Source organism: Homo sapiens, chromosome 1, assembly GCF_000001405.40.
Source record: "Homo sapiens chromosome 1, GRCh38.p14 Primary Assembly".
In the NCBI taxonomy this organism is placed as follows: domain Eukaryota; kingdom Metazoa; phylum Chordata; class Mammalia; order Primates; family Hominidae; genus Homo; species Homo sapiens.
The window spans coordinates 245,177,545-245,201,640 of record NC_000001.11 but is presented as its reverse complement, the minus strand read 5'-3'; the positions used below and the strand labels follow the sequence as shown (position 1 = coordinate 245,201,640).

The 24,096-nt window shown below is 42.9% G+C and overlaps 1 protein-coding gene across 1 annotated transcript in view, besides 3 other annotated features; it reads right to left on the bottom strand.

Annotated features, from left to right (window-relative positions):
* The window catches only part of KIF26B (kinesin family member 26B), a 554,448-nt gene that overhangs the window by 507,792 nt on the left and 22,560 nt on the right, over positions 1-24,096 (bottom strand). The gene's annotated exons all lie outside the window — the stretch shown is intronic.
* Positions 5,802-6,609: an enhancer, noted in NCBI's record as "OCT4-NANOG hESC enhancer chr1:245358334-245359141 (GRCh37/hg19 assembly coordinates)". NCBI's record gives its function as "activates a minimal SCP1, AML or CMV promoter by ChIP-STARR-seq in naive H9 embryonic stem cells {active_cell/tissue: H9 hESC(naive)}" and the evidence as "EXISTENCE:reporter gene assay evidence [ECO:0000049][PMID:30033119]".
* Positions 21,194-21,694: an enhancer, noted in NCBI's record as "H3K4me1 hESC enhancer chr1:245343249-245343749 (GRCh37/hg19 assembly coordinates)". NCBI's record gives its function as "activates a minimal SCP1, AML or CMV promoter by ChIP-STARR-seq in primed H9 embryonic stem cells {active_cell/tissue: H9 hESC(primed)}" and the evidence as "EXISTENCE:reporter gene assay evidence [ECO:0000049][PMID:30033119]".
* Positions 21,695-22,195: an enhancer, noted in NCBI's record as "H3K4me1 hESC enhancer chr1:245342748-245343248 (GRCh37/hg19 assembly coordinates)". NCBI's record gives its function as "activates a minimal SCP1, AML or CMV promoter by ChIP-STARR-seq in primed H9 embryonic stem cells {active_cell/tissue: H9 hESC(primed)}" and the evidence as "EXISTENCE:reporter gene assay evidence [ECO:0000049][PMID:30033119]".

Here is a 24,096-nt window from a genome sequence, read left to right as displayed (position 1 = left end):
CTGGTTTTATGTGAAAGCAGAGATCTAAGACCTGAAATTACAAGTCATTTATTGTAGTTATCCTCTGCCTCTAGGTTGTTGTCTTAAAAGTTACAAAGGTGCAATTATCCAGGTGGCTAACAACCTTTCTGAATTTAGAATTCCAGTGGTCACAGAAAAAACCATGGCAGGGCTGAAGGTTAGAAGCGATTGGAGGAATCTAAAAATACTAAGCATTCAGAACGCAGTCACAAGCCCTTACTAGCATTTAAATGATCTCTGTGTCCTCTCTACTAACATCTAACTGTTAAGGCAGGTCACTGTGCTTGCTCCATGATCAGGATTATTTTATTTCAAGCATAATATCATCCACATTATAACTGCTATGTTATTTCAAAATGAAACTGATCTAGACTATTTGTTGCGTGTTTAACTTGTAATACCTTAAAAATCAGGAGGCGAGGCAGTGTGTGTACTGAGACAGGACTGTATTTAACCCAGGGAGGTGGTCCAGACCCAAGAGCCAGCTCTGAGGCTCAACTCTAATTCTTAACTGTGTGGCCTTGAGCAAGCCTCTTAGCTGCTGTCGTCTTCAGCTGTCTTGGGTGTAAAGTGAAGATAATCCTGTCTCCTTTTTAGGGTTGTTCTAAAGAAATACTGGGCACAGGGTGTGGGCTTAATATGCTTTTTAAGAAATCAGTTACTTTTTCTACAAAACAAGAATAAAGAGGCATCAACAGGGGTCACACAATGACTTTCACGCCCTTTGGAAAACGTCCTGTACTGTGGTCCCATCAGTATTATGCCTTTACTCATACATTGTGATTTTAAGAACGTTTGAAAAACCCTATACCCTCAATCAGCCCTGCCTATATTTGAAATTCAACAATTAGATAGTCCATCCTTTGGATTAAAGCTGCGTTCTCTATGAAAAGGCAGGTTTCCACTCCGGAAGAGATAACAATAAAAATTCAGGCCTCTATCAATCATTTATGGTAACAATTTTTTACCCCTTTCTGAAAACAGAGAGAAAAAATGTATATTAAAGTAAGCAGGGGCTAAAGAAGGGAAGTAAAAGTCAGTCTCAAAGGGGAAAGAGATACAGAATTGGGAGGCTGGAGAAATTTATGAGTATACATGTACATTTCCATATACAAAGATATTGACACATTCTCTTGGGATGGAGATTGTGCCAGACAGCATCTGCTGTATAACCCTTGCATTAATGATATTCCAAAATATTTAGGATTTTAGCCACAATATTCCTTCCTCAAAGTCCCTAGAGCTGCAGAAGATTTAAATATTTTGTCTCGGAGATTATCAGAGCTCTAGACAAGATGAACCAGACTCAAGAGACCAGAAGGGAAATAAAGAGCAGTTCATGAAATTCCACTCCTGGTTGAATGCTGTGTGCTGCTGCAGTAGTCGCCCTACATCCTTTGCTGAGCATCTGTGAAAACGAGATTTAGGAGAGAAATGGGATTTGGGAATATCACCGCCCCTATCTTGGAAATTAAACACAAATAAGCCACTAAAGAAATAGTCGTGTGGGATTAACGAGAGTGTGCATTCCTTGTGGGTGTTAGAACAATCTCGTGAATTTTTTAAAATCCCATCGCACAATGATAGCACGGAAGTGTAGACACAGGATATGTTCCTTTCGATTTGCTGCTGACAGACTGTAAACTGCATGAGGGCAGAGGCCGGGTTTGTTTGGCTGACCATCAAAAATACCTAACACAAATTTGTGACACATATCTGCCCTTCAATAAATATTTGTGGATTGCATGAATAAATCAATGAACAAGTGGATGGGTGGATGGATGGATGGATGGATGGATGGATGGACAGATGGATGAGTAGATATGTGGATACATGGGCCAGGCACAGTGGCTCACTCCTGTAATCCCAGCACTTTGGGAGGCTGAAGCAGACAGATTTCTTAAGGCCAGGAGTTTGCGACCAAGCCTGGCCAACATGGTGAAACCCCATCTCTATTTAAACATACCAAAGGAATTGGCCGGGCATGGTGGCGCATGCCTGTAATCACAGCTGCTTGGGAGGCTGAGGCAGAAGAATCACTTGAACCTGGGAGGCGGAGGTTGCAGTGAGCCAAGATTACACCACTGCACTCCAGCCTGGGCAACAGAGAGGCCATCTCAAAAAAAAAAAAACCAAAGATATGTGGATATATGAACAGGTATGATGGATGAATAAAGAGACACATGGGTCAGATTATTTAAAACTGGAAACAAAGAAGCAACCTGAATTCTCCCCTAATCAACTACGCACTACCATCCAACATACACCCTGAGCACCACCACCCTCAAGAAGGGAGGAGGGAGGGAGGAGGGAGGGGAGTATATATGTGCACACTTGCGTGTATTTGCCCTCTGTTGGTACGAGGGCACCCTACCAGGAACAAGTGTAAGGACATTTAGATTTGCATCTGATAGAGACAGAAAATGATGAAAGTTTGAGGTTAAAAGGTTTCCTCACCAGTGCACCAGGAGTAAGGAGACCTGCGTCTTGCCTTAGCTCTGTCACCAGCCTGTGATCTGGACAAAGCAATTATCTTTCTGGACCTTAGTTTCTTCATCTGTAAAATGAATGAAGTGAACTTAGATGCCCTGAGGCCCCACCTAGTCTGTCCCCTGCTTGGGACTCCAGCCTCAGCTCAGCTCAGCTCAGCGGCCACACTCTCCCGCCTCCCCCGACGCTGCCGCAGGGGCTTCCTTTCCACCACCAGCTGCACACCACGCCTTCCTGACCCCCCGGTCTACATTAGAACCCCCGTTACACTCTCCAGAGCATCATCTTTCCTTTATCTCAGTTAGAACTTCCTAGTTATTTATTATTATTTGTTAAATGTCTGCCCACACCCTGACTGTAAATAACAACATTTACTGAGCACTCACAATTTTTTTTTTTTTTTGAGACGGAGTCTCTCTCTATTGCCCAGGCTAAAGTGCAATGGTGCGACCTCGATCTCGACTCACGCAACCTCCGCCTCCCAAGTTCAAGCGATTCTCCTGCCTCAGCCTCCCAACTAGCCGGAATTACAGGCCCCCACCACCATGCCCAGCTAATTTTTGTAGTTTTAGTAGAGACGGGGTTTTGCCATGTTGGCCAGGCTGGTCTTGCACTCCTGACCTCAGGTGATCCTCCCACCTTGGCCCCCCAAAGTGCTGGGATTACAGGCGTGAGCCACCGCACCCAGCCAAGCACTTACCAAATATTACACTCTGTTTTAATCACTTTACATCTTTATTTATTTTAATCCCTATATTAAATAACTTTGAGGTAGATGCTTTTATCATTCCCATTTTACAGATGAGGAAATTGAGGCCAGAGACACAAGTAACTTGTCTGAGGGCACATAGCATAGTAAGTACTGATCTGGAATTTGAACTCAGGCTGTCTGCTCCAGAGACTGCATGGACTCTGGTATCCTGATTTGAATCTCCCAAAACACAAGTACTGGAGGTCTGTTTTGCTCACCACTGTATTCCTGACACCTGGCACAATGCCTCAGTGAGGCAGCATAGTAAGCCCTCAACGAGTATCTGCTGCAAAAGGGAAGGATGTGTGGGTGGTAGGAGGAAGGGAGGGAGCAGGGGAGGAAGAGACAAGACAGGATCTCATTCCTTAGCTTTTTCTGCCCTCAGCTTGGCTAAAGTCATCTGCTTAAGAGAGAGCTGAGGCTGGAAACCACTGAGAAATGCTCAAATGTGAAAGTGAAATCCATCTGTGAAACTCCAGTACGCATGGGAGTGCTAATAATTTTGAGGACACCAGAAAAATCACACATTAATTATCCTGGGTGGTGAAACTGTGCCTAGTTGTCGTCTATATGGTGAACATCATTTACTTTACTTTTGGGCATTAAAATTTCAAAATATCTCCTGTGTCACTTTATATAAATACACTTCCCCGGGGGCACTTTAACTTTTGACTCTATCTTCTTCTGTCCTATTTTCATTCTTTATAATCAGCATGTATTACTCATACATTTTTATATCAAATACTAAAAATAAATCCTCAAAAATATATACCTTTTCTCCATTGCTTGACCCTGCTTCTCAAATCTTCCTAATGAATAACTTACACAGCCCCATCGTTAGCCATGAGACTTCTGAAGTGTGTGAGCACGTGTGTGTGTGATGTGTGTAAAAAAAACAAAGTTATAATTATATTGAATTAAAATAAAAGATCAGTCTCCACTGTCCTCTTCAAAGTGCTTTTCACTGGAAAAGCAATAACCTGGGAACGAAGCCTGCCCTGCCCCTCCTCAGATCTTCCTGGCTGATTAATCCTATTCAAAGCTAAGTGCTGAAGGATAATAAAGAGGTTTAAGCTATGCCACACACCAGTTCATTAAAAATAATAATTGTTCTCCTAGAAGGCCCATGGTTTATAAGAGGATTACAAGAATAGAAGCAGGAAGACTATGCAGCGCTTTCTTCTTACTTCTCAGGCCTGCAACATCTTGAGTGTGGAAGGTTGTTATTCAATCACCAAATATTTATGATGGGCCTACTGTGGGCAAATAATTGGTCGGGTGATGCAGAGGATTCTAATATGAATAAAATCTAATCCGTGCCCTCTGAGTGGCTCGACGCACTTGCCAACATCTCCAAATGCGGAACAGAATCAATGAGGAGTAGGATTTCTTATCTCAAAATTGTTCTTCCGCCAAACACCGAAGGAGCTATATTTTGTTCCTCTTAAAGAGTTTACCATCCAGAAGGGAAAAATAAGATAGAAAATAAATAGCTACAGCACACAGTACCTCTGAGGATAGGGGTAATAGGACCGTGGTCAAAGCAGGGTATGCTCGGAACCATTTGAGGTGACCGGCAATCATTTCCTTAAAAGAGTAGCCTTGAGAAAAGCTCTAATAGATGGGTAAGATTTTGATGGGATTTTGGTAGGAGCCAAGGAGAGTAATCAAAGTGAAGGAAGATGCACTTAAAAAAATATCCAAGGGAGAATTCTGAGGTCCGTTAAGCCACACCTGTCTGGCTTGGCTATGGCAGTGGTTCTCGGAAATCACCTGGAAACCCGTTAGAAATGCGAGTTCTGAGGCCCACCCCAGGTCTACTCTGGAGGTGGTGCCTGGAGCACAGTCAATGAAGGGGATATGGCTTGGAAAGGTGGGAGGAGACCGAGAGGTCTGAGGCATTTACACCCAGGTCACCATTCAACAGGAGAGCCAGGGAAGGGCTTTGAGCAGATCAGTGATATCATAAGAGCTGTGCTTGACAATCAACTCGGAAATATGCTGGAGGAAACACAGTGGAAGGTTGTTTTCAGAGCTATTAGGAATGGGAAGAAAATGGACTTAGGGAGCCCAGGTAGAAGCTTAGAGACAGGGGCTGTCATCCTAATCATTGCAAAGGGAAGTTCACAGGATGTATCCACAGAGTAGCTGCTGGGAGGAAACAAAAGACTATACATCTTATATCTCATTTACCAGGAAAATAGTGGTCTTGTTAAACGGGGTCTTCCTACAGGGACACCATCAAATCATTGTGTCCTTGGATCTGTCACCATAATATATAAGGCTCTAAAACCATACAAAACACTAGAAACAAATAGTTCTATCATCCTCCTGCCACAGAAGGACATCCTGAAGGACCTCGAGGATAACCTCAAGCCCCAGGCAAGGGCTCCAGTCCCTCCTTTTTCCACTTTGATTACTCTCCTTGGCTCCTACCAAAATCCCATCAAAATCTTACCCATCTATTAGAGCTTTTCTCAAGGCTACTCTTTTAAGGAAATGATTGCCGGTCGCCTCAAATGGTTCCGAGCACACCCTGCTTTGACCACAATCCTATTACCCCTATCCTCAGAGGTACTGTGTGCTGTAGCTATTTACTTTCTATCTTATTTTTCCCTTCTGGATGGTAAACTCTTTAAGAGGAACAAAACATAGCTCTTTCGGTGTTTGGCGGAAAAACAACACCTGACAGGCAGATGGGCCTTCCCAGGGCACTCGACATGCTCAGCCTCCTTCCCCCGGCCCTGAAGCGGAGCCCCAGGGGCAAAGAAGAGCCAGCTGTTGCTTAAGTGACCTCCGCTGAGGAGATCAAAGGAAGGATTTAGGAAAGGAAGATGCCCCTCCCCGTCAATCCTGAAAAATCACAGGCTCCTGTTTATGTGACCCACGTCTCCCAAGGAATTCAAGCAATGTGTAGTTCAAAGACCATAATCCACCTAGCGCATCTCACAAGGTCAGGTGGGAACAAGGTTGCCCACCATCACGACACGCCTCCTATTTAAATGACGGTGGAACTGAGGCGCAACAAACAAATGATGTTATTCCCATCTCAGAAAGACTACGACTCCCCAAAGTCAGTGCCAAATAAGCACTAAGAAAATATATGCATAATTGGAAAACACTACTAGCAGAGATTTTACTCACTTCAGTAAAAGTGACATGCAGCAGTGGTGATCTACCTAGGTGGCAGGTGGAGAAAAGAAACCTACTAGGGATATTCATCAAATGCAACAGGAATACAATGGTGGCTTTCTGAAGGATGTGTGTAAAGGAATCCCTCCTCCCCAGATCACACTGGTTCCTACATAAAATCCTAGTAGAGCCCATAAAAAGTAACAATGATTGAGGCCTCCCAACTAGTTGCCTTTATAAAATAGCCACTATTTAATTTTCCCCATAAGCTAAATGCCTTGGAGCCTTATATATGTTTAGATTATATAGTAACCTTGGGCAAACAACTGTTAAAATCTTCAACCCTCTCCTACACACACACACCCCCATACACATGTACTTCACAGAGTGAAGAAATTACCAGTATTTCTATTACAACAGATTTTGGCTTTTTGAAGAAACGCCAATACCTGATTACCAGCATTCTTATTCTTCTGGCTATATGGGAGCCAGGGCCAGCATTTCATTTGAGTCAGTTAAACATGGTTAACACTAACAGGCTAAAATATCAGATTTGAAAGTAAAAACCAGGCCAGGTGCAGTGGCTCGCACCTGTAATCCCAGCACTTTGGGAGGCCAAGGTGGGTGGATGGCCTGAGGTCAGATGTTCGAGACCAGCCTGGGCAACATGGCAAAACCCCATCTCTACTAAAAATACAAAAAACTAGCCAGGCATGGTGGCACATGCCTGTAGTCCCAGCTACTTGGGGGCCTGAGGCAGGACAATCGCTTGAACCCAAGGGGTTGCAGTGAGCCGAGTTTGCACCGCTGCATGAGGAAGACTCTGTGTCCAAAAAGAAAAAAAAAATTATTTTGTTTCCATAGAGTTTTGTTTGCAGTGTCACTATGTTACCAAAATCTAGGCAACTCTAACCCCATGCACCGTGCTCAGAGAGGGCCTCCCTTTCCATAACTGCCTCCTGCATCAAGCACTCTATGTAAACGGAAACTCTAAATCAATTCCAAATGAGGGGCAAATTTTAAAACTGTGCCACCACGATGAATTAGGCCTCTCCAAACCTGAACTGCAGTAGAAATTAGGTTCAAAGACGAGATAATGGCCTTATATGGAAGAAACTACCATACGCCTTCCTACAAAATCACATTTTCCTACAGAAATCAAATGACCCAGTGTCCTACGTGGAATGCTTTAACAATTCTAGTGGTATTATTTTGATATTATTTTCAAAAGTCCATGGAAAGTTCATAAATGATCAGTCAGCAGCAAAAAGAAACTTTCTGGCGTCCATGTCATTTTCTAGCGCCCCATGGTCCAGGTCCTAACACGATCAATGGACGCAGCCCTGTCTCTGCTCTGAATCTTTCTCTGCCATTGATTTGCCAGTTGTTTCATCAGATGGCAGCCTTGGCCTACTGTGCCTGAGTTGCTGCCTTCATAAAGAACAAGTAAGTTGTCATAAATCTGGCGCAGTGGAGGGACGCTCTGGCGACAGATGACTCAGGTTTGAACATGGGCTTCTCCACTTACTTGACTTCTCTGTGCTTCAGTTTTCTCATCTGTAAAACTGGGATGATAACAGTACCTACATCTCAGAGGATTGCTGTGAACATTAAATGATGTAACACATATAAAGTGTTTAGAACAGGATCTGGTTCTTTGAAAGCTCTTAACGCATGATGACTATTATTACATTCCTAAAATGAGAAAAAAATATGAAATTTTGAAAAAAGGTTATTTAAAAAGGAAAGCCTAAGCTTTCCGGTTTATTTAAAAAGGAAAGCCTAAGCTTTCAAACCAATTGAAACAGACTGAGTCATATGATTGTCTTTGGTGAACACAATGGCAATAAGAAGTCAAGTACCAAAGGAACATAAATCATTCTACCATAAAGGCATATGCACACGTATGTTCACTGCAGCACTATTCACAATAGTGCAAACATGGAATCAAGCTAGATGCCAATCAACAGTAGACTGGATAAAGAAAATGTGGCTCATATACACCATGGAACACTATGCAGCCAAGATCATGTCTTTTGCAGCAACATGGATGGGGCTGGAGGCCATCATCCTAAGCAAACTAACACAGGAACAGAAAACCAAATACCGTGTGTTCTCAATTATAAGTGGGAGCTAAACAATGAGCACACATGGATACTAGGAGGGGAACAACAGACACCAAGACCTACTTTGAGGGTGGAGGGTAAGAGAAGGGTGAGTCTCAAAAACTACCTATTGGGTACTATGCTTACTACCTAGGTGATGAAATCATCTGTACAGCAAATCCCATGACACACAACTTACCTGTATCACAAACCTGCACAGTGCCCTGAGACTAAAAGTAAAAAAAAATTATCTGTTGGGTGTAATGTTCACTATTGAGGTGATGGGTACACTAGAAACCCAATCCCCACCACTACAGAACGGGACACGTGCACCTGCACACGCACCCCCCAAATCTGTGATACCACACAATCAATAAATACATAGAAGAAGTCAAGTATACTAGAGATGAGAGTTCACAAACTCAGGCCTGTTATCTTTAGACTCCTCTCCCCAAGAAGGAAGAGTTACTGTGGGCTCTGGAGGCCCCTAAAATAAACATACCTCTTTCCTCCCTCCTGGAAGTTTATATTATTTTAAAAAGTCATCAGTATAGATGATCATTTAGCAGGAGACAGAGTTTGAAAACTATGTAACTTAGTTTATTCAAGGATGATTTATATAATAAATTCTTAAGACAGATATATGAGAATCAAATTTTTACAAAATATCTCAAAATTAAAAATGTTTTTAAAGTAATGTATGCCCTTTTAGGAAACACAGTTTACTAGGGGAGACCAGCAGCCATCAATATTATTCTCTGCTAATATTGTAGCAAGCATCCTTTTTTTTCTTTCCTGTGAAGTTTTAAACTGTCTAGACCAGAAAATACTTACATTTGAGGTTATATCCTGCTTTTTTATCACTTAGCATTAATTATATCATGAGCACGTCCCCTGAAACATGGGAAACATTTTACAAATGTTATTTTAAGAGACCACACAGCATTTGATCAAATAGATTGATCATAATTTCTGTAACCATTTCCCTAATGCTGAACATGCAGCTTCTTTCTAATTCTTTATAATTATTTTTTTTAAATGCTTCAGGAAATACTTTTGTGCATTAATCCTGGTAGTTAGGATTATCCCCTTAAGATAGATTCCCAGAAATAGAACTACCAGGTCAAGGAGTAAGAATAATTTTAAGGTTCATCACACTGCTTTCCAAAATGGTATTAATTTATCCTTCATTATATGAAAGAATATCACATTTTACAAAATCTTTGTTAAGCTGCATCAAAAATGGTAGCTTACTGTTGTTTCGATTTGCATTTATTTGATTACTAATGAAGTTGAACAATTTTTCTTGCGTTTGGTAGCCATGTGTGTTTGTTTCCCCTTTTGCAAAGTCAGTTCAACTGCCTTTGTCCCTTAAACTACTGCGGTCTTAATGTTGACATTAGCAATTTGTATTAAAAATTCTATATTAAAGATATTCATGCTTCGTTGTAATTTTTTACATTCTCTGCAGATTGTCGCCTGCCCTTTGATTTTGTCAACGTACAAATGTTTTCTGATATACAGAGTTTAATTTTTATGTAGTCAAACCTGTCTATATTTTCTCTTGTGATACCTTCTATTCTATCAAGCTTAGAAACTTCTTTATCCATATATTTCCTTCTAGATTTTTTTATATATATTTAATCCTTTTTGTTTGCTTGTTTTGAGACAAGAGTTTCACTCTTATTGCCCAGGTGGGTGTGTAGTGGTGTGATCTCGGCTCACTGCACCCTCTGTCTCCTGGGTTTAAATGATTCTCCTGCCTCAGCCTCCCGAGTAGCTGGGATTACAGGCGTCTGCCATCACGCCCAGCTAAGTTTTGGATTTTTAGTAGAGATGGGGTTTCACCATGTTGGCCAGGCTGGTCTCGAACTCCTGACCTCAGGTAATCCGCCCGCCTCGGCCTCCCAAAGTGCTGGGATTTTACTCTTTTCAATGTTGGGAGGTAACTTCTCCCCAGCATTCTACCCAAATATTGGTGGCATCTTATCACAGGAAGAGCCAGATTACAAATGAACAAATATTCATATTTATGCATATCTGGTTCTTATCTCTTTTTTTTTTTTTTTTTTTTTTTTTTTTGAGACAGAGTCTTGCTCTTGTCACCCAGGCTAGAGTGCAGTGGCACGATCTTGGCTCATTGCAACCTCCGCCTCCCAGGTTCAAGCGATTCTCCAGCCTCAGCCTCCCGAGTAGCTGGGACTACAGGCACCTGCCACCACACCGGCTAATTTTTGTATTTTTAGTAGAGATGGTGTTTCACCATCTTGGTCAGGCTGGTCTCGAACTCCTGACCTCAGGTGATCCACCCACCTTGGCTTCCCAAAGTGCTGGGATTATAGGCATGAGCCACCACGCCCAGCCTGGTTCTTATCTCTTATAGGGAGACTGAGGCATCATAAGCCTAAGGGAAAATGACTACTTTCTTCAAATCAAAGAGTATTTTATAAGAATGCTGAGATTTTAATAGACATCTGTAAGAAATGTAAAAAAAAAAAAAAACAAAACAAAACATTCAGGGAAAACTTATAGGAAAAGATGTCCTATGTATAAAACCAAAGTGGATACTGGAACAGGAATTAGGAATTGGTGTTCTCAAAGTTGGCAGAAGGTACTCCCGGGAAAATGAGAAGCTGTTTCCAGTGCAAGTGCAGTGCCGTGACTGCTTGTGGGATGTGCTAATGGGCACCTGTGAGGCTGCTGCCCTGTACCCTCCAATCTAGAATCCAGGCTAAAGACCCTGCAGCCAGTGTTACAGGAAAGATTACAAACCAAATGGCTTAGTTCTGATAAGACCTAGGCAAAAAAGAAGGAAGAAGTCCTGACAAGAGAGTCCCAGCAATCTGAGCACCCGGCTGTGGAGCCCTCGGGGGAACATCCCATAGGCTGCTGATATGGTCTGGCTGTGTCCCCTCCCAAATTTCATCGTGAATTGTAGCTCCCTTAATTCCCACATGCTGTGGGAGGGACCCAGGGGGAGATGACTGAATCATGGGGGCAGTTTCCCCATACTGTTCTCATGGTAGTAAGTCTCACGAGATCTGATGGTTTCATAGGTTAATTTCATCTTGAATTGTAGCTCCCATAATTCCCACGTGTTGTGGGAGGGACCGGGGAGGAGATAATTGAATCACGGGGGTGGTTTCCCCCCATACTGTTCTCACGGTAGTGAGTAAGTCTCACGAGATCTGATGGTCTCATAGGAGTTCTCCTCTTTCACTTCACTCTCTTTCTCTCTTGTCTGCCACCATGTAAGACGTGACTTTCACCTTCCACCATGATTGTGAGGCCTCCCCAGCCACATGGAACTGTGAGTCCATTAAACCTCTTTGTCTTTATAAATTACCCAGTCTCATGTGTGTCTTTATCAGCAAAGTGAAAACAGACTAATATGACTGCCTTCAACTTTGTTAACACACAACCTTCCAGCTCTAGAGAGGACAGGTCTCCTCCCTGCCACAGAGAAGGCGCAAGGTTCTAACTTCTGGGGGATCACACAGGTGGTAGGGGGCTTACCTCTAATTTAGGAGCCCCTTGAGAAAGAAAACTCTCAGCGGACATCTAGAACAAGAACACTCCACAGCCTGAGGTTCACGAACCCTGAGATCACCCAAATACCCATTTCCAGCACATCCAATTGTTAGTGTAAAATCGTCTGTAAACATTGCTTCTTTGTGGCTCAAGAATAACAGTGAGATAAACTTTAAATGACAGTTTGCTGTTTTGTTATGGAAATGTTAACAAGGTGTGTTTGGCCTAGGAAACATCATTATCTTTTGTTTTCCTGGGGAAAATGATATTGAAAAGTTAACCAGAGTTCACTTTCCAGACCTGGAATAACATAAGAAGAGATTTATTATATCATATTTCCCAGGATTTGAACAAAAGCATCAACAATGCAAGATAATGACAGTTCACCATTTTTATTATGGTAAAATACATGTAAACTTGACTATATTAGCCACTTTCAAGTGTGCAGTGGCATTCAGTACGTTCACATTGCTACGCAACCATCACCACCATCATCTCCAGAACTTTTTCATCTTCCCGAATTGAAACTCTGTATGTTAAACAATAACTCTCCATTCCCCTCAACTCCAGCCCCTGACAACCACCATTCTACTTCCTGTCTGAGTCTGATTACTTTATGTACCTCGTGTAAGCAAAGCCATACAACATTTGTCCTTTGTGACTGGCTTATTTCACTTGGCATCATGTCTCCAAGGTTCATCCATGTTGTAGCCTGTTTCAGAATTTCACTCCTTTTCTGAACAATATTCCATTGTAAATACATAGACCACATTTTGCTCATCCATCCATGATGGACACTGGGCTGTTCCCACCTTTTGGCTACTGTGAATAATGTTGCTACGAACATGGGTGTACAGATATTTGTTTGAGTCCCTGCTTTCAATTCAACTGGGTTTATACCAGAAGTGGAACTGCTGAATCATATGTAATTCCTTGTTTAATTTTTTGAAAAACTGTCGTATCATTTTCCAAAGCAGCTGCATGATTTTACATTCTCAGCAGCAACACACACATGTTCAGTTTTAAAATCTGTACATCTTTGTAAGAGGAACTAACTTGGGAGCTAGTTCCTTAAAACATATCTTCGTCATCAGTTTGCAAAGCACAGAGGGAAAGTTGAAATGTCTCTCTGAATTGAGCTATTCAGTCAAAACCAAACATGATGGTAGGAAAGTAAGATCTTGGGACAAATAGGGGCTATTCGAGAGAGAGGTGGGCTTTGCTGGTTCCCAAACTGGCCTCACTTCCTGCCTACTCTCCCGGCTTCACCGACCACACCCCTGTTCTACTGTGTCTTGAATTTGCCTCTTTTTTTTTTTTTTTTTTTTTGGAGATGGAGTTTCACTCTTCTTGCCCAGACTGGAGTGCAATGGTGCGATCCAGGCTCACTGCAACCTCCACCTCCTGGGATCAAGTGATTCTCCTGCCTTAGCCTCCCAAGTAGCTGGGATTACAAGCGTGTGCCACCACACCTGGCTAATTTTTGTATTTTTAGTAGAGATGGGGTTTTGCCATGTCGGCTAAGCAGGTCTCGAATTCCTGACCTCAGGTGATTCGCCCACCTCGGCCTCCCAAAGTGCTGGGATTACAGGCATGAGCCACCGCGCCCGGCCTTGAATTTGCCTCTGATTCCAATTTCAGTGTTGATTAACCTCATTCATCCTCATCATTCAAACTTGAATTTCCTCAAGATCAGAAAAATAATCCTCAACCACAATTTTCATCATATCATCTAGAGCTCAAAAACATGAATTCCACATCCTTTGCCTGTTCTTCAAGGCCCTTAACCAACTTTCCCTATCATGTGTCTAATAAATGTTCTAATAACTCTTTATTATCATCTCTTATAGCCACGAAAAGTGTGTTACACTCTCATCAACCTCCCCCTCTCCAACATAATTACTCAAACCCACTCAGAAAACTGAAACACCAAGAGCCTTCCAATCCACATTCTCCTAAAGTACAGGTGGGTGTACTGAGACTTCTGTCAAGACAAGAACCTGAACCTTCTCTTGTACTGTCTCTCAAGCTGGTTAAAAGAAAGCGACCACAGCAATACTCCTCTGCATTAACCAAACCACTAGTTATGCCTAGTGTCAAAGGTCTTTTTTTGTATAAATGTATGGGGTCCAAGTGTAATTTTGTTACATGGACATATTCCATATTGGTGAAGTCTGAGCTTTGAATGCATCCATCACTGGAATAAACTACATGGTGTCCATTCAGTAATTTCTCATTCCTCATCAACCTGCCCCATCTTTGCAATCTCCACTGTCTGTCTTTCTCTATTGTCCATGTGTACACATTATTTAGCTCCCACTTATAAGTGAGAACACGCAGTATTTGTCTTTTTGTGTCTGACTTGTTCCACTTAAGATAATGGCCTCCAGTTCCAGGCAAAGATCTTATCATCTTTTCTTCTAGAGAATTAAATTACTTAGAAAAGTACCTGGCTTGGCTGAGTGCAGTGGCTCACACCTGTAATCCCGGCACTTTGGGAGTCCAAGGCGGACAGATCATGAGGTCAAGAGATCGAGACCATCCTGGCCAACATGGTGAAACCCTGTCTCTACTAAAAATACAAAAATTAGCTGAGCGTGGTGGTGCGCGCCTGTAGTCCCAGCTACTCTGGAAGCTGAGGCAGGAGAATCACTTGAATCCAGGAGGTGGAAGTTGCAGTGAGCCAAGATCGCGCCATTGCACTCCAGCCTGGGCTACAGAGAGAGACTCTGTCTCAGAAAAAAAAAGAAAGAAAGAAAGAAAAAAAAAAGTATTTGGCTTTTTATCCAACATTACCATAGTTCCTTTGGTGATGATGATGATGATGATATAATAATACTCTTTGCATCTGATGTCACTTTAATTGACAAAACACTTCTGCTATTTCATTTGATTCTGTCTGAAAGATAAGCAGGGCAAGTACTAAGAGTCCCACTTTACAGAAGGCCAAGTTAGAGATACGTAACTTACTGCCTGGCTAAGTAACAAGAAAGGAAGTTAGACTAAAACCTCCAGGTGTTTGGACTACTGACGTCATGACCTCTCACCTTTGACTCCTACACCCCCTTTCAAGCTCACTTTCTCAGAACAGCTACTGTCGACAGAATTCACTGGGCTGCCTTTCACCTCACAGATGCAGGGAGCTTATTGTATCCCAGGGAGTAACTTATTAAGGCTGTTTAGCTGGTTTAGCTGCACCCAAATAAAGCAAAAAATGAAGAAACTCAGTAAGGTGCTCGCAGACAACATTTAACCCAAGGTTACGGAAGCAGGGTCCATTCTTTGCGAAAGTGGCTTTTCCTTAACTGTCGAGGCTGTAGCCGGCATCACTAGAACCCAGCTCGGCCCATGACTCATCGAAGGGGGCATTCTGTTGATGTGGCTGTTATTTGGAAAATTAGCGCACGTGGGAGAAGGGACCATCTTAAGAAAATATAGGGCCAGGCGCAGTGGCCCACGCCTGTAATCCCAGCACTTTGGGAGACCAAGGTGGGTGGATCACGAGGTAAGGGGTTCGAGACCAGCCTGACCAACATGGTGAAACCCCGTCTCTACTAAAAATACAAAAATTAGCTGGACGTGGTGGCGGGCACCTGTAATCCCAGCTACTCAGGAGGCTGAGGCAGGAGAATTGCTTGAATCCGGGAGGCGGAGGTTGCAGTGAGCTGAGATCACGCCACCGCACTCCAGCTTGGGCGACAGAGTGAGACTCTGTCTCAAAATAAAATAAAATAAAATAAAATAATAAAAAGAAAATATAAATAGCTTTTCTTTAACTCTCAAGGTTGTAGCCAGCATCACTAGAACCCAGCTCAGCCCATGACTCATCAAAGGGGGCATTTTGTCGATGTGGCTGTTATTTAGAAAATTAGCACACATGGGAGAGGGGATCATCTTAAGAAAATATAAATATTAGAAATACAAGTGAATAAACTGGTGGTAAATGGAATCCTTGAAGCTGGTCTGTAAATTGCCAGATGACAGCTCATTCCTGTGACACACAGTTGGAGTGTCCCACTCCTTCAGACTTTGCTGAGAGAAAAGACAGACCACAGTGTTTGTTGATTGACACAAAGCTGACTTTTGGGGTAATGACAGCCTCAGAAAGCATGTTTAGATCCACTTAGTCCCAACACAACTTGTACCTTTCGATTTTATCCAGACCCCCCTCCCTTCCTTGTGCTATTCTTGAAGGTTGGAACCAGGTTTCATTAAGTATCTCCGCCACCTGATTACCTGAGGTCAGGAGTTCGAGACCAGCCTGGCCAACATGGCGAAACCCCATCTCTACTAAAAATACAAAAACTAGCCAGGTGTGGTGGCGGGTGCCTGTAATCCCAGCTACCCGGGAGGCTGAGGCAGGAGAATCGCTGGAACCCGGGGGGCAGAGGCTGCAGTGAACCAAGATTGCACCACTGCACTCCAGCCTAGGCGACAGAGCAAGACTCTGTCTAAAAAAAAAAAAAAAGTATTTCCACCACCTTAGCACACAGCAGAATGTCAAAAATGTGAGTTGAATAAATTTGAATTGAATGATTAGCATAATCCCAGAGAAGCAATAAAAAATTTGGCTCTGAACGCTAACTATGGATTTGGATGTCTAGGATTCCAATCTGGAATCCCCTGATCTCCCATTGTACTGGGCTGCAAATAGCCACAGAAATGTCTAATTAAGTGCTCTGGGCAGACTTCTGCAGTGCAAGCAAGACGCTCTCTATCTGCTACAGCAATAATAAACCTCTGTCTACCATCTCAGATTTAGGAGGAAGCAACCTGGCAGCCACACTCGCCAAAAACAATTCACCACTCATTACACAGCCACTGTTTTCTCAGAGATATAAGGTTTGGGTGCACCTCCGTTTATAGTAAAAGAATCCCTGAGAAGTTCATTTTAATTGCATCAATGAGAAACTGCTCTCTTGAAGGTAACAATGGCTAGATTATTTTGTGATGAGAAGTAACACTCCATATTTAATTTGTTGCATAAATTCAGATTTTAAAATTTTGACTCCTATTTTTACACAGGACAGATGAGTACATTTGATTTTCAATACTTTCCCCCAAGATTTTAAAATCAAATAGCAGATGAAAGAACATTAAAAGTGAACCTGCTTCCCCAGAGATTATAAAGACACATTTGTGTACCTGTGTGCACAGATGACGACGCACATGTGTACACACAAACGCCAAGGCCAGAGTCTAAAGCCAACCCAGGATCCACTCTCCATTCTCATTCAATGTGCTATAGGGCTGAGCTATTTCTTGCAATATGTCCAAGATGTTTTAAGACCTGGCCTGGAGCTCATGTTACAAAGTATTAAAGTTCACCTTGACACTCTACCATTCAATTTGCCTTTGTGATTAGTGCCCCAAAAGGGAATATCCTACAAGTTCATTCCATCCAGTGACTTCTACCTTGTGTCACTAGTCTTGGATTTTGGTAAAAATAAGTCTAGCATCTCACTTCCCCCCACTTTCCCAGAGCTATAACTGATCCTTGGGGGACTTGGAGGAAAACCACAGGTATACTTAAGAAAGCTCAAAAAAAAAAAAAAAAAAACAACAACTCCCACCCATACCTGTTGCAGGAGGTTAGGGGTCAAGATGTAGGAAAAAATCCAATGAAAGCAAGAATGTAGTCAAAAACAGAGAGATGGCTTCATCAAATAACTATATGACAGTACCCCAACAAAAAACTCCATCACTCTGTCTGCCCTTCTGACAACCTGCTTGGCAGCTGTGCCCTGGTGCCATTATGGCTTAATCGTGTCATACCGCCAGGTCTTTCTCTGATGCTTAATTTGCTTTGTTCCCCAACCCCATGCAGGTGAGGAGGTCAAGCTTTCTTCTGATGAGTGCCAAGGCCCTGGAGTCCATCTCACACCTGCAGGTTGCTTCTGTGACAGTTCTCCCACCCTCAGAAGATGTGTTAGAGATTCTGTCAGGATCTCCAACTCCAGCTTGCTCATGTGCCAAATTCTTACGTCAGTCTTTGCAATCTTGATTCTACCCAGCATGTGACGGCCACTACATATGCTTTGTTAGAAAATGAAGGACAGAAAAGAAAATCCACAGTGGTCATTCTAAGTCTATTTTCTTGAAACCTGAATGAGTCTGGAAAATTTCTTTATGCAAGAAAAATGAGTGATCTTAACTCGAAATGGACCATAGACCTAAGTGTTGGAACCAGAACTATAAACTCTTAAGACAAAAATCTGGAAGTAAATCTTCATGATCTTGGATTAGACAACTTCTTAGATACCAAAAGCAATAAAAGAAAAATTGATCAACTGGATCTCATCAAACAGAAAACTATTGTGCTTCAAACAACACCATCAAGAAAGTGAAAAGATAACTCACAGACCAGGAGAAAATACTGGCCAATCATATATCTGATAAGAGACTTATACCCCAGGATATATTAAAGACTTACAACTCAATAACAACAACAAAAATAGCCCAATTAAAAAACACCAAAAGGTTGAATAAATGTTTTTTCCAAAGAAAATATATGAATGGTCAATAAGCACGAAAAGATGCTATACCTCATCGGTCATTAGTGAAATGCAAATCAAAGCTACAGGGTGATACTAGCATCGAAAGCCTCATCTGTTGCTGGGAGGAATATAAAATGGTGCTGCCATTTGGGAAAAGAGTTTGGAAGTTTCTCAATGGGGCCGGGCGTGGTGGCTCACGCCTATAATCCCAGTACTTTGGGAGGCCGAGGCGGGTGGATCACGAGGGTCAGAGGTTCAAGACCATCCTGGCTAACACGGTGAAACCCTGTCTCTACTAAAAATACAAAAAATTAGCCAGGCATGGTGGCACGTGCCTGTAATCCCAGCTACTCGGGAGGCTGGGGCAGGAGAATCACTTGAACCCAGGAGGTGGAGGTTGCAGTGAGCCGAGATGGCGCCACTGCACTCCAGCCTGGGCGACAGAGTGAGACTCTATTTCAAAAAAAAAAGTTTCTCAAAATGTTAAACATAGAATTGCCATATCAACTACCAATTCCACACCTAGGCATCTATCCATAAGAAATGAAACCATATGTCCACACAAATTGACACACAAATGTTCATAACAGCATTATTCATAATAGCCAAAAACTAGAAATAGCCCACATAGCCATCGACTGGTGAATGGATATACAGCATGTGGTATGTTTATACAGTGGAATATTACCAGGCAATAAAGAGAAATGAAGTACTGATACATGCTACAACAGGGTGAGCCTTGAAAACACTGTACCAACTCAAAGAAGCCATCTGCAAAAGGCCTCAGATTGTATGACTTTGTTCATGTAAAATGCTACAAAAGGAAAATCTACAGAGACGGAAAGCAGATTAGTCTTTTCCTGTGCCTGGGAGTGGAGTAGGGTGAAGACTGACTGATAATGGGCCATTTCCTTGTGGAGTGACAGAAATGTTCTAAAATTAGATAGTGATGATGGCTGCAGACCTGGCAATAAATGGAAATGCACCGAGCTGGACATTTAAAACAAGTGAATTTCATGGCACATAAATTGTCTCAATAAAGCCATTTTTTATAGAAGAATGATCTCAGATTCCTAATTGGCCAAGAGTTAGGCCCGCACACGTTTAAAACAGGTGAATTTTATGGCACATAAATTGTATCTCAATAAAGCCACTTTTTGGAAGGGAATGATCTCAGATTCCTAACTGAACAACAGTTAGGCCTGCACCCAAACTATCTGGTCCTCAAAATTAGCATTAGCTAGCATTAGCACGGTCGCCAGCATCTCCTCCTCTGCCATCTCACTGTCCCTGCCTCCTTTTTCTGTCTCACAAAGCTGAGACTAGAGGGCTCTTGTCATAAAAAAATAGACCCAACAGTCTGCAGTTTCCCTAAAAATCACCATTTCCCAAGAAAATCAGTCCTAAAAGAAATCGAAGGAATAAACCAAAAACATGAAGTACTTTGAAACCTGTCGCTAGGTTTTCCTACAGCTCATAACCAACCCAGCCACACACACACCGCAGGTCCTTTCCGAACATGGCCAGCTGTAGCCATGTTTATTTTTGCCTGGGCTATAATATAATGGAAGAATTTTTTTTTTTGGCTTTTTTTTTTTTAACTTTACTACGTTTTTCTCTCCTGAATTCTCCTGAGCTAATGTGATACAATCTTGAAAATTTACACCATAATGAGATCAAGAGGCATTGGCAACAGCCTCTGTAGTAAATTGGCATCCGTGCTAATCGATAACCTACTTTCAAATGAAAAGACGCAGACCCAATCCATCCTCTACACCAAGGCTGCCAAGCAACAGAACACGCCGCCTTCTCAGGGTGAGAGCTAATTGCTGCTCTCACAAAGACAGGGGCAATCTTATCCAGGTGATCCATTAGCTGGAAACTACTAGAAAGGGAGCAAGAAAGAAGGGGGGGAAATCGGGGTAAAGAGGTTAAACAGCACAAAAGTGATTTCAAGGGAAAAAAAAGGGCTTGAATTTGTATGTGAAAGAGATAATGGCACGAAACTTTAATGCAGAAAGGTCGCTGAGAGCTTTGGCAAATTCCTCTCTGGCACAACCACTGTTGCAGCTCTCAGGCCTCTCAATGTCTGACAGGGTCTGTCACAGACTGGGACAGAGAAGAAGGGGGTGCACAATGTCCCCCACCCTATCTTGCCCACAAAAGAGAATAGGAATCCTGCAGTTGGTGTTCAAGGTTACAGTGGACTGTGATCGTTTCACAGCACTCTAGCCAGGGTGACAGAGCAAGGCCCCACCTCTAAAAAAGAAAAAAACAAAAAGAATCCTGCAGCAGTGACTCTAGAAGGACCCCAAATCCTGCTGTGGTCACGAACAAGTGTATGAATGTCTCTGTAGCTCGGCTTCCTTCTCTTCCCCCACCCCTACCCCCACCACCACCATTTCCATGGTGACCACTGGCCCATGAGCCACAGGCAGGAAAACTAACACAGTACTCCGGACCACATGAGCACAGCTGAAGATTTTTTTAAAGTGACCACAAATCCCCTCTCTTAAAGGACTGGGCCACATTTAGTCAAGGTCACAGTTCAGGAAATAGAAACTGGAGATGATAGCTAGCACCTACTGAGCATTTACTTGGGCTAAGTATTTTAAAAGAGATTATTACCTCATTTGCCTATAACCCTGAAAGGAAGGTGTTCTCCCCATTTTACAGATGTGGAAGTTGAGGAAGGACACAGTTGAGTAAGTTGCCCAAGCTGCAGGACTATTTAAGAGGAGAGCCAGAATTAGAACGCAGACTCCCTGGACTCCAATGGCCACACTCTTAACCACTCCTCTCTCTCTCTCTCTCTCTCTCTGCTACCTGCAGGATCTGAAGCTGAATGTTTACCCCAAAGAGAAAGATACATGAGTCTCTCCTACTCTTAGAAATGGGGGAGGATCTGACATCCTCCAATATTTCATAGGAAGACGAAAGTTCCAGTGAAGCCAAATGTTTCAAAAGCAAAATATCTCTGATACTTCTTTAAAAGCATGGCGACAGCCTCTTGCCTGTCTCCAGCTGAGATCTTGCTTCGAAATTCCCTTGCTGCTGCCAGCGATTATCCAGGCACACAGACATGGTCCTCTTACAGTTCTTCATCAGGATGCAGGGGGTGGGGTCCCTGGCCAGGCCCCCCAGGCGCTGCCTCCTCTGCTCACTGTCTTTGCCCTCACCACCCAGGCCCGCACAGGCCATGCGCCAGGTGCTTCATGCCTCACTGCCTCTGCCCCGCAACTGCAGCTCTCCAGAACATCCTGTCCACCCTCTGTCTCCAAAGCAAACACCTGCTTGTCCTCGTGGCTCAGATGAAAGGTCCACCCCTGGTCTTTCTGACACCTCCTGGATTACCCGAATTCTACCCACCCACTCTTGTGCCACAGCCTTTACGACAGTTGTTTGCTTGTTTACACACTTATCTCCCCTCCTGGTTGGTAAACTTCTCACGACCAATGTTGGGGTCTCCTTTGTTTTTGTTTTGTTTTTGAGTCGGAGTCTCGCTCTGTCGCCCAGGCTGGAGTGCAGTGGCGTGATCTCGGCTCACTGCAACCTCCACCTCCTGGGGTTCAAGTGATTCTCCTGCCTCAGCCTCCCGAGTAGCTGGGACTACAGGCGCGCACCACCACGCCCGGCTAATTTTTGTATTTTTAATAGAGACAGGGTTTCGCCATGTTGGCCAGGATGGTCTCAAACTCCTGACCTCAGGTGATCCACGCGCCTCAGCCTCCCAAAGAACTAGGATTACAGGCATGAGCCACTGCGCCCGGCCTCCTTTGTTTTTGAATCCATAGTATTTAACACAGAGAAAGTGGCACATATTGGGAGCCTGATAAATGTGTGATAAATGAATACGTGAATGAATGACTTAATGAGGTCACGTGGATCTTTCTCTTTAAAGCATTCTCTGGAGAATTTCAAACGCTATTTTATTTAAAAATATTTTAGAGTGGAGAGGGGGAAATGGGAGCCAAGAGAACTATTTGCTGCTTTCACAAAGACAGGGGCAGTCTTTTTAAATGTCGTTTTGCCTATTTACAAGTTTTCATTAAATATCTCTAATGCTTAGAATATCTGTCAAATATGAACATTTGTATACAGCTTAAAGTACAAATGTCAGTAATTATTTAAAAAAAAAAAACATGGTTAAGAATTGTTCCAAGTAAATGCTTGATAAGAATTATTTACCCAGAGGCAAGTCCAACGTCAGGTGCCTGAGGAGTAAGGGACAGAGCCCCCGTCTGCTCGGATGGCTGTAGAGCCGGCCCCACTTGCCCTCCACTCAGACACTGCATGTGGCAAGCCCACGTCACAGGCGGTACCACCAGCCTTTATCCCCAAAACCTAAGGTGACACCAGGCTTGACACGGGCAGTCTTACTCAGGTGATCTATTAGTAGAAACTACTAGAAAAGGAGCAAGAAAGGGGGAGGAAATCAGGGTAAAGAGGTTAAACAGCACCAAAGTGATTATTAAACACTTTAATAACAAAAGTTATTGCTTAATGCATTTGGAGTTTTGGTTTGAGATGATGGAAGTGGGTGGATGGTGGCGATGGCCGTGCAATGATATGAAGGTACTTAAAGCCACTGAACCATACGCTTAAAAAGGAATAACATGGGAAATTTTATGCTATACATATTTTACTACAATTAAAAAGGAAAAAAACTTAGAATAAAGACTACCAAGAGACTGACGACTGAAGAGACAGCTCAAGAATGGATCACTGAAGGGACTCAGAAAAAAGCATTTGAAAAAAAAGCAAAGCCCAAAAGACACCGCTCCTCTTATTTTAAAATACAGCCCCAAACCCACGATGACAGCTCCAAAGTCAACCTCGGATATACGGTTGTGCTTGAAAGCTCTAGAACTCCTAGCACAGCACAAACACATGGTAGGTTATCTGTTTTCTGAACGTGACTAGCATCACTTGAATAAGTGGCTCAAAGCGTAGGAATTATTCTGATGAACAGGTCTTTCTCCTGTAACAAAGCAGTGACAGTCAGATGTGACCTCTGTGATTTGATACACTCCTAAGGGACAAATATCTCTGCCCAGAAACATCCCAATCTAGCTGCCAAAGATAGCTCTGCTCACCTGCACAACCTGGCCTCATTCTCGATCTTCAGACCTTTCCTACGTGGAGGCTAACCCCAGTCTAAACCCACACCAAATCTTCATGTAACCTTTTTACCTTCTCTCTAAACAAAAAACCCTAATCCCCGCTGACTGAGTCTTTCATTTTCTCGGCTAAAAACATAGGACCTGAAGCCATTAAACTTGTGATAGGAAAAACCAGGGTTCCAGAGGTTCAGGAGAGCATTTTTCTCCTAGTCTCATTTGAAGGGTCATTTTACTAATCAGAAACAGGCCTAAACTGCCATCACCATTATCCGTCACCAGAAGGCCAGGGGGAAAGACACACACACACACACACACACACACACACCCCTAAGGACAAGTAAAATCAAAACCAAAAGGCAATGAATCCTACCCCTTCATTTCACATACAGTGAGGTAAATAATGGCGCTACAGCAACTTCATTTGCAGAGATCCAGGATGCCAGGAA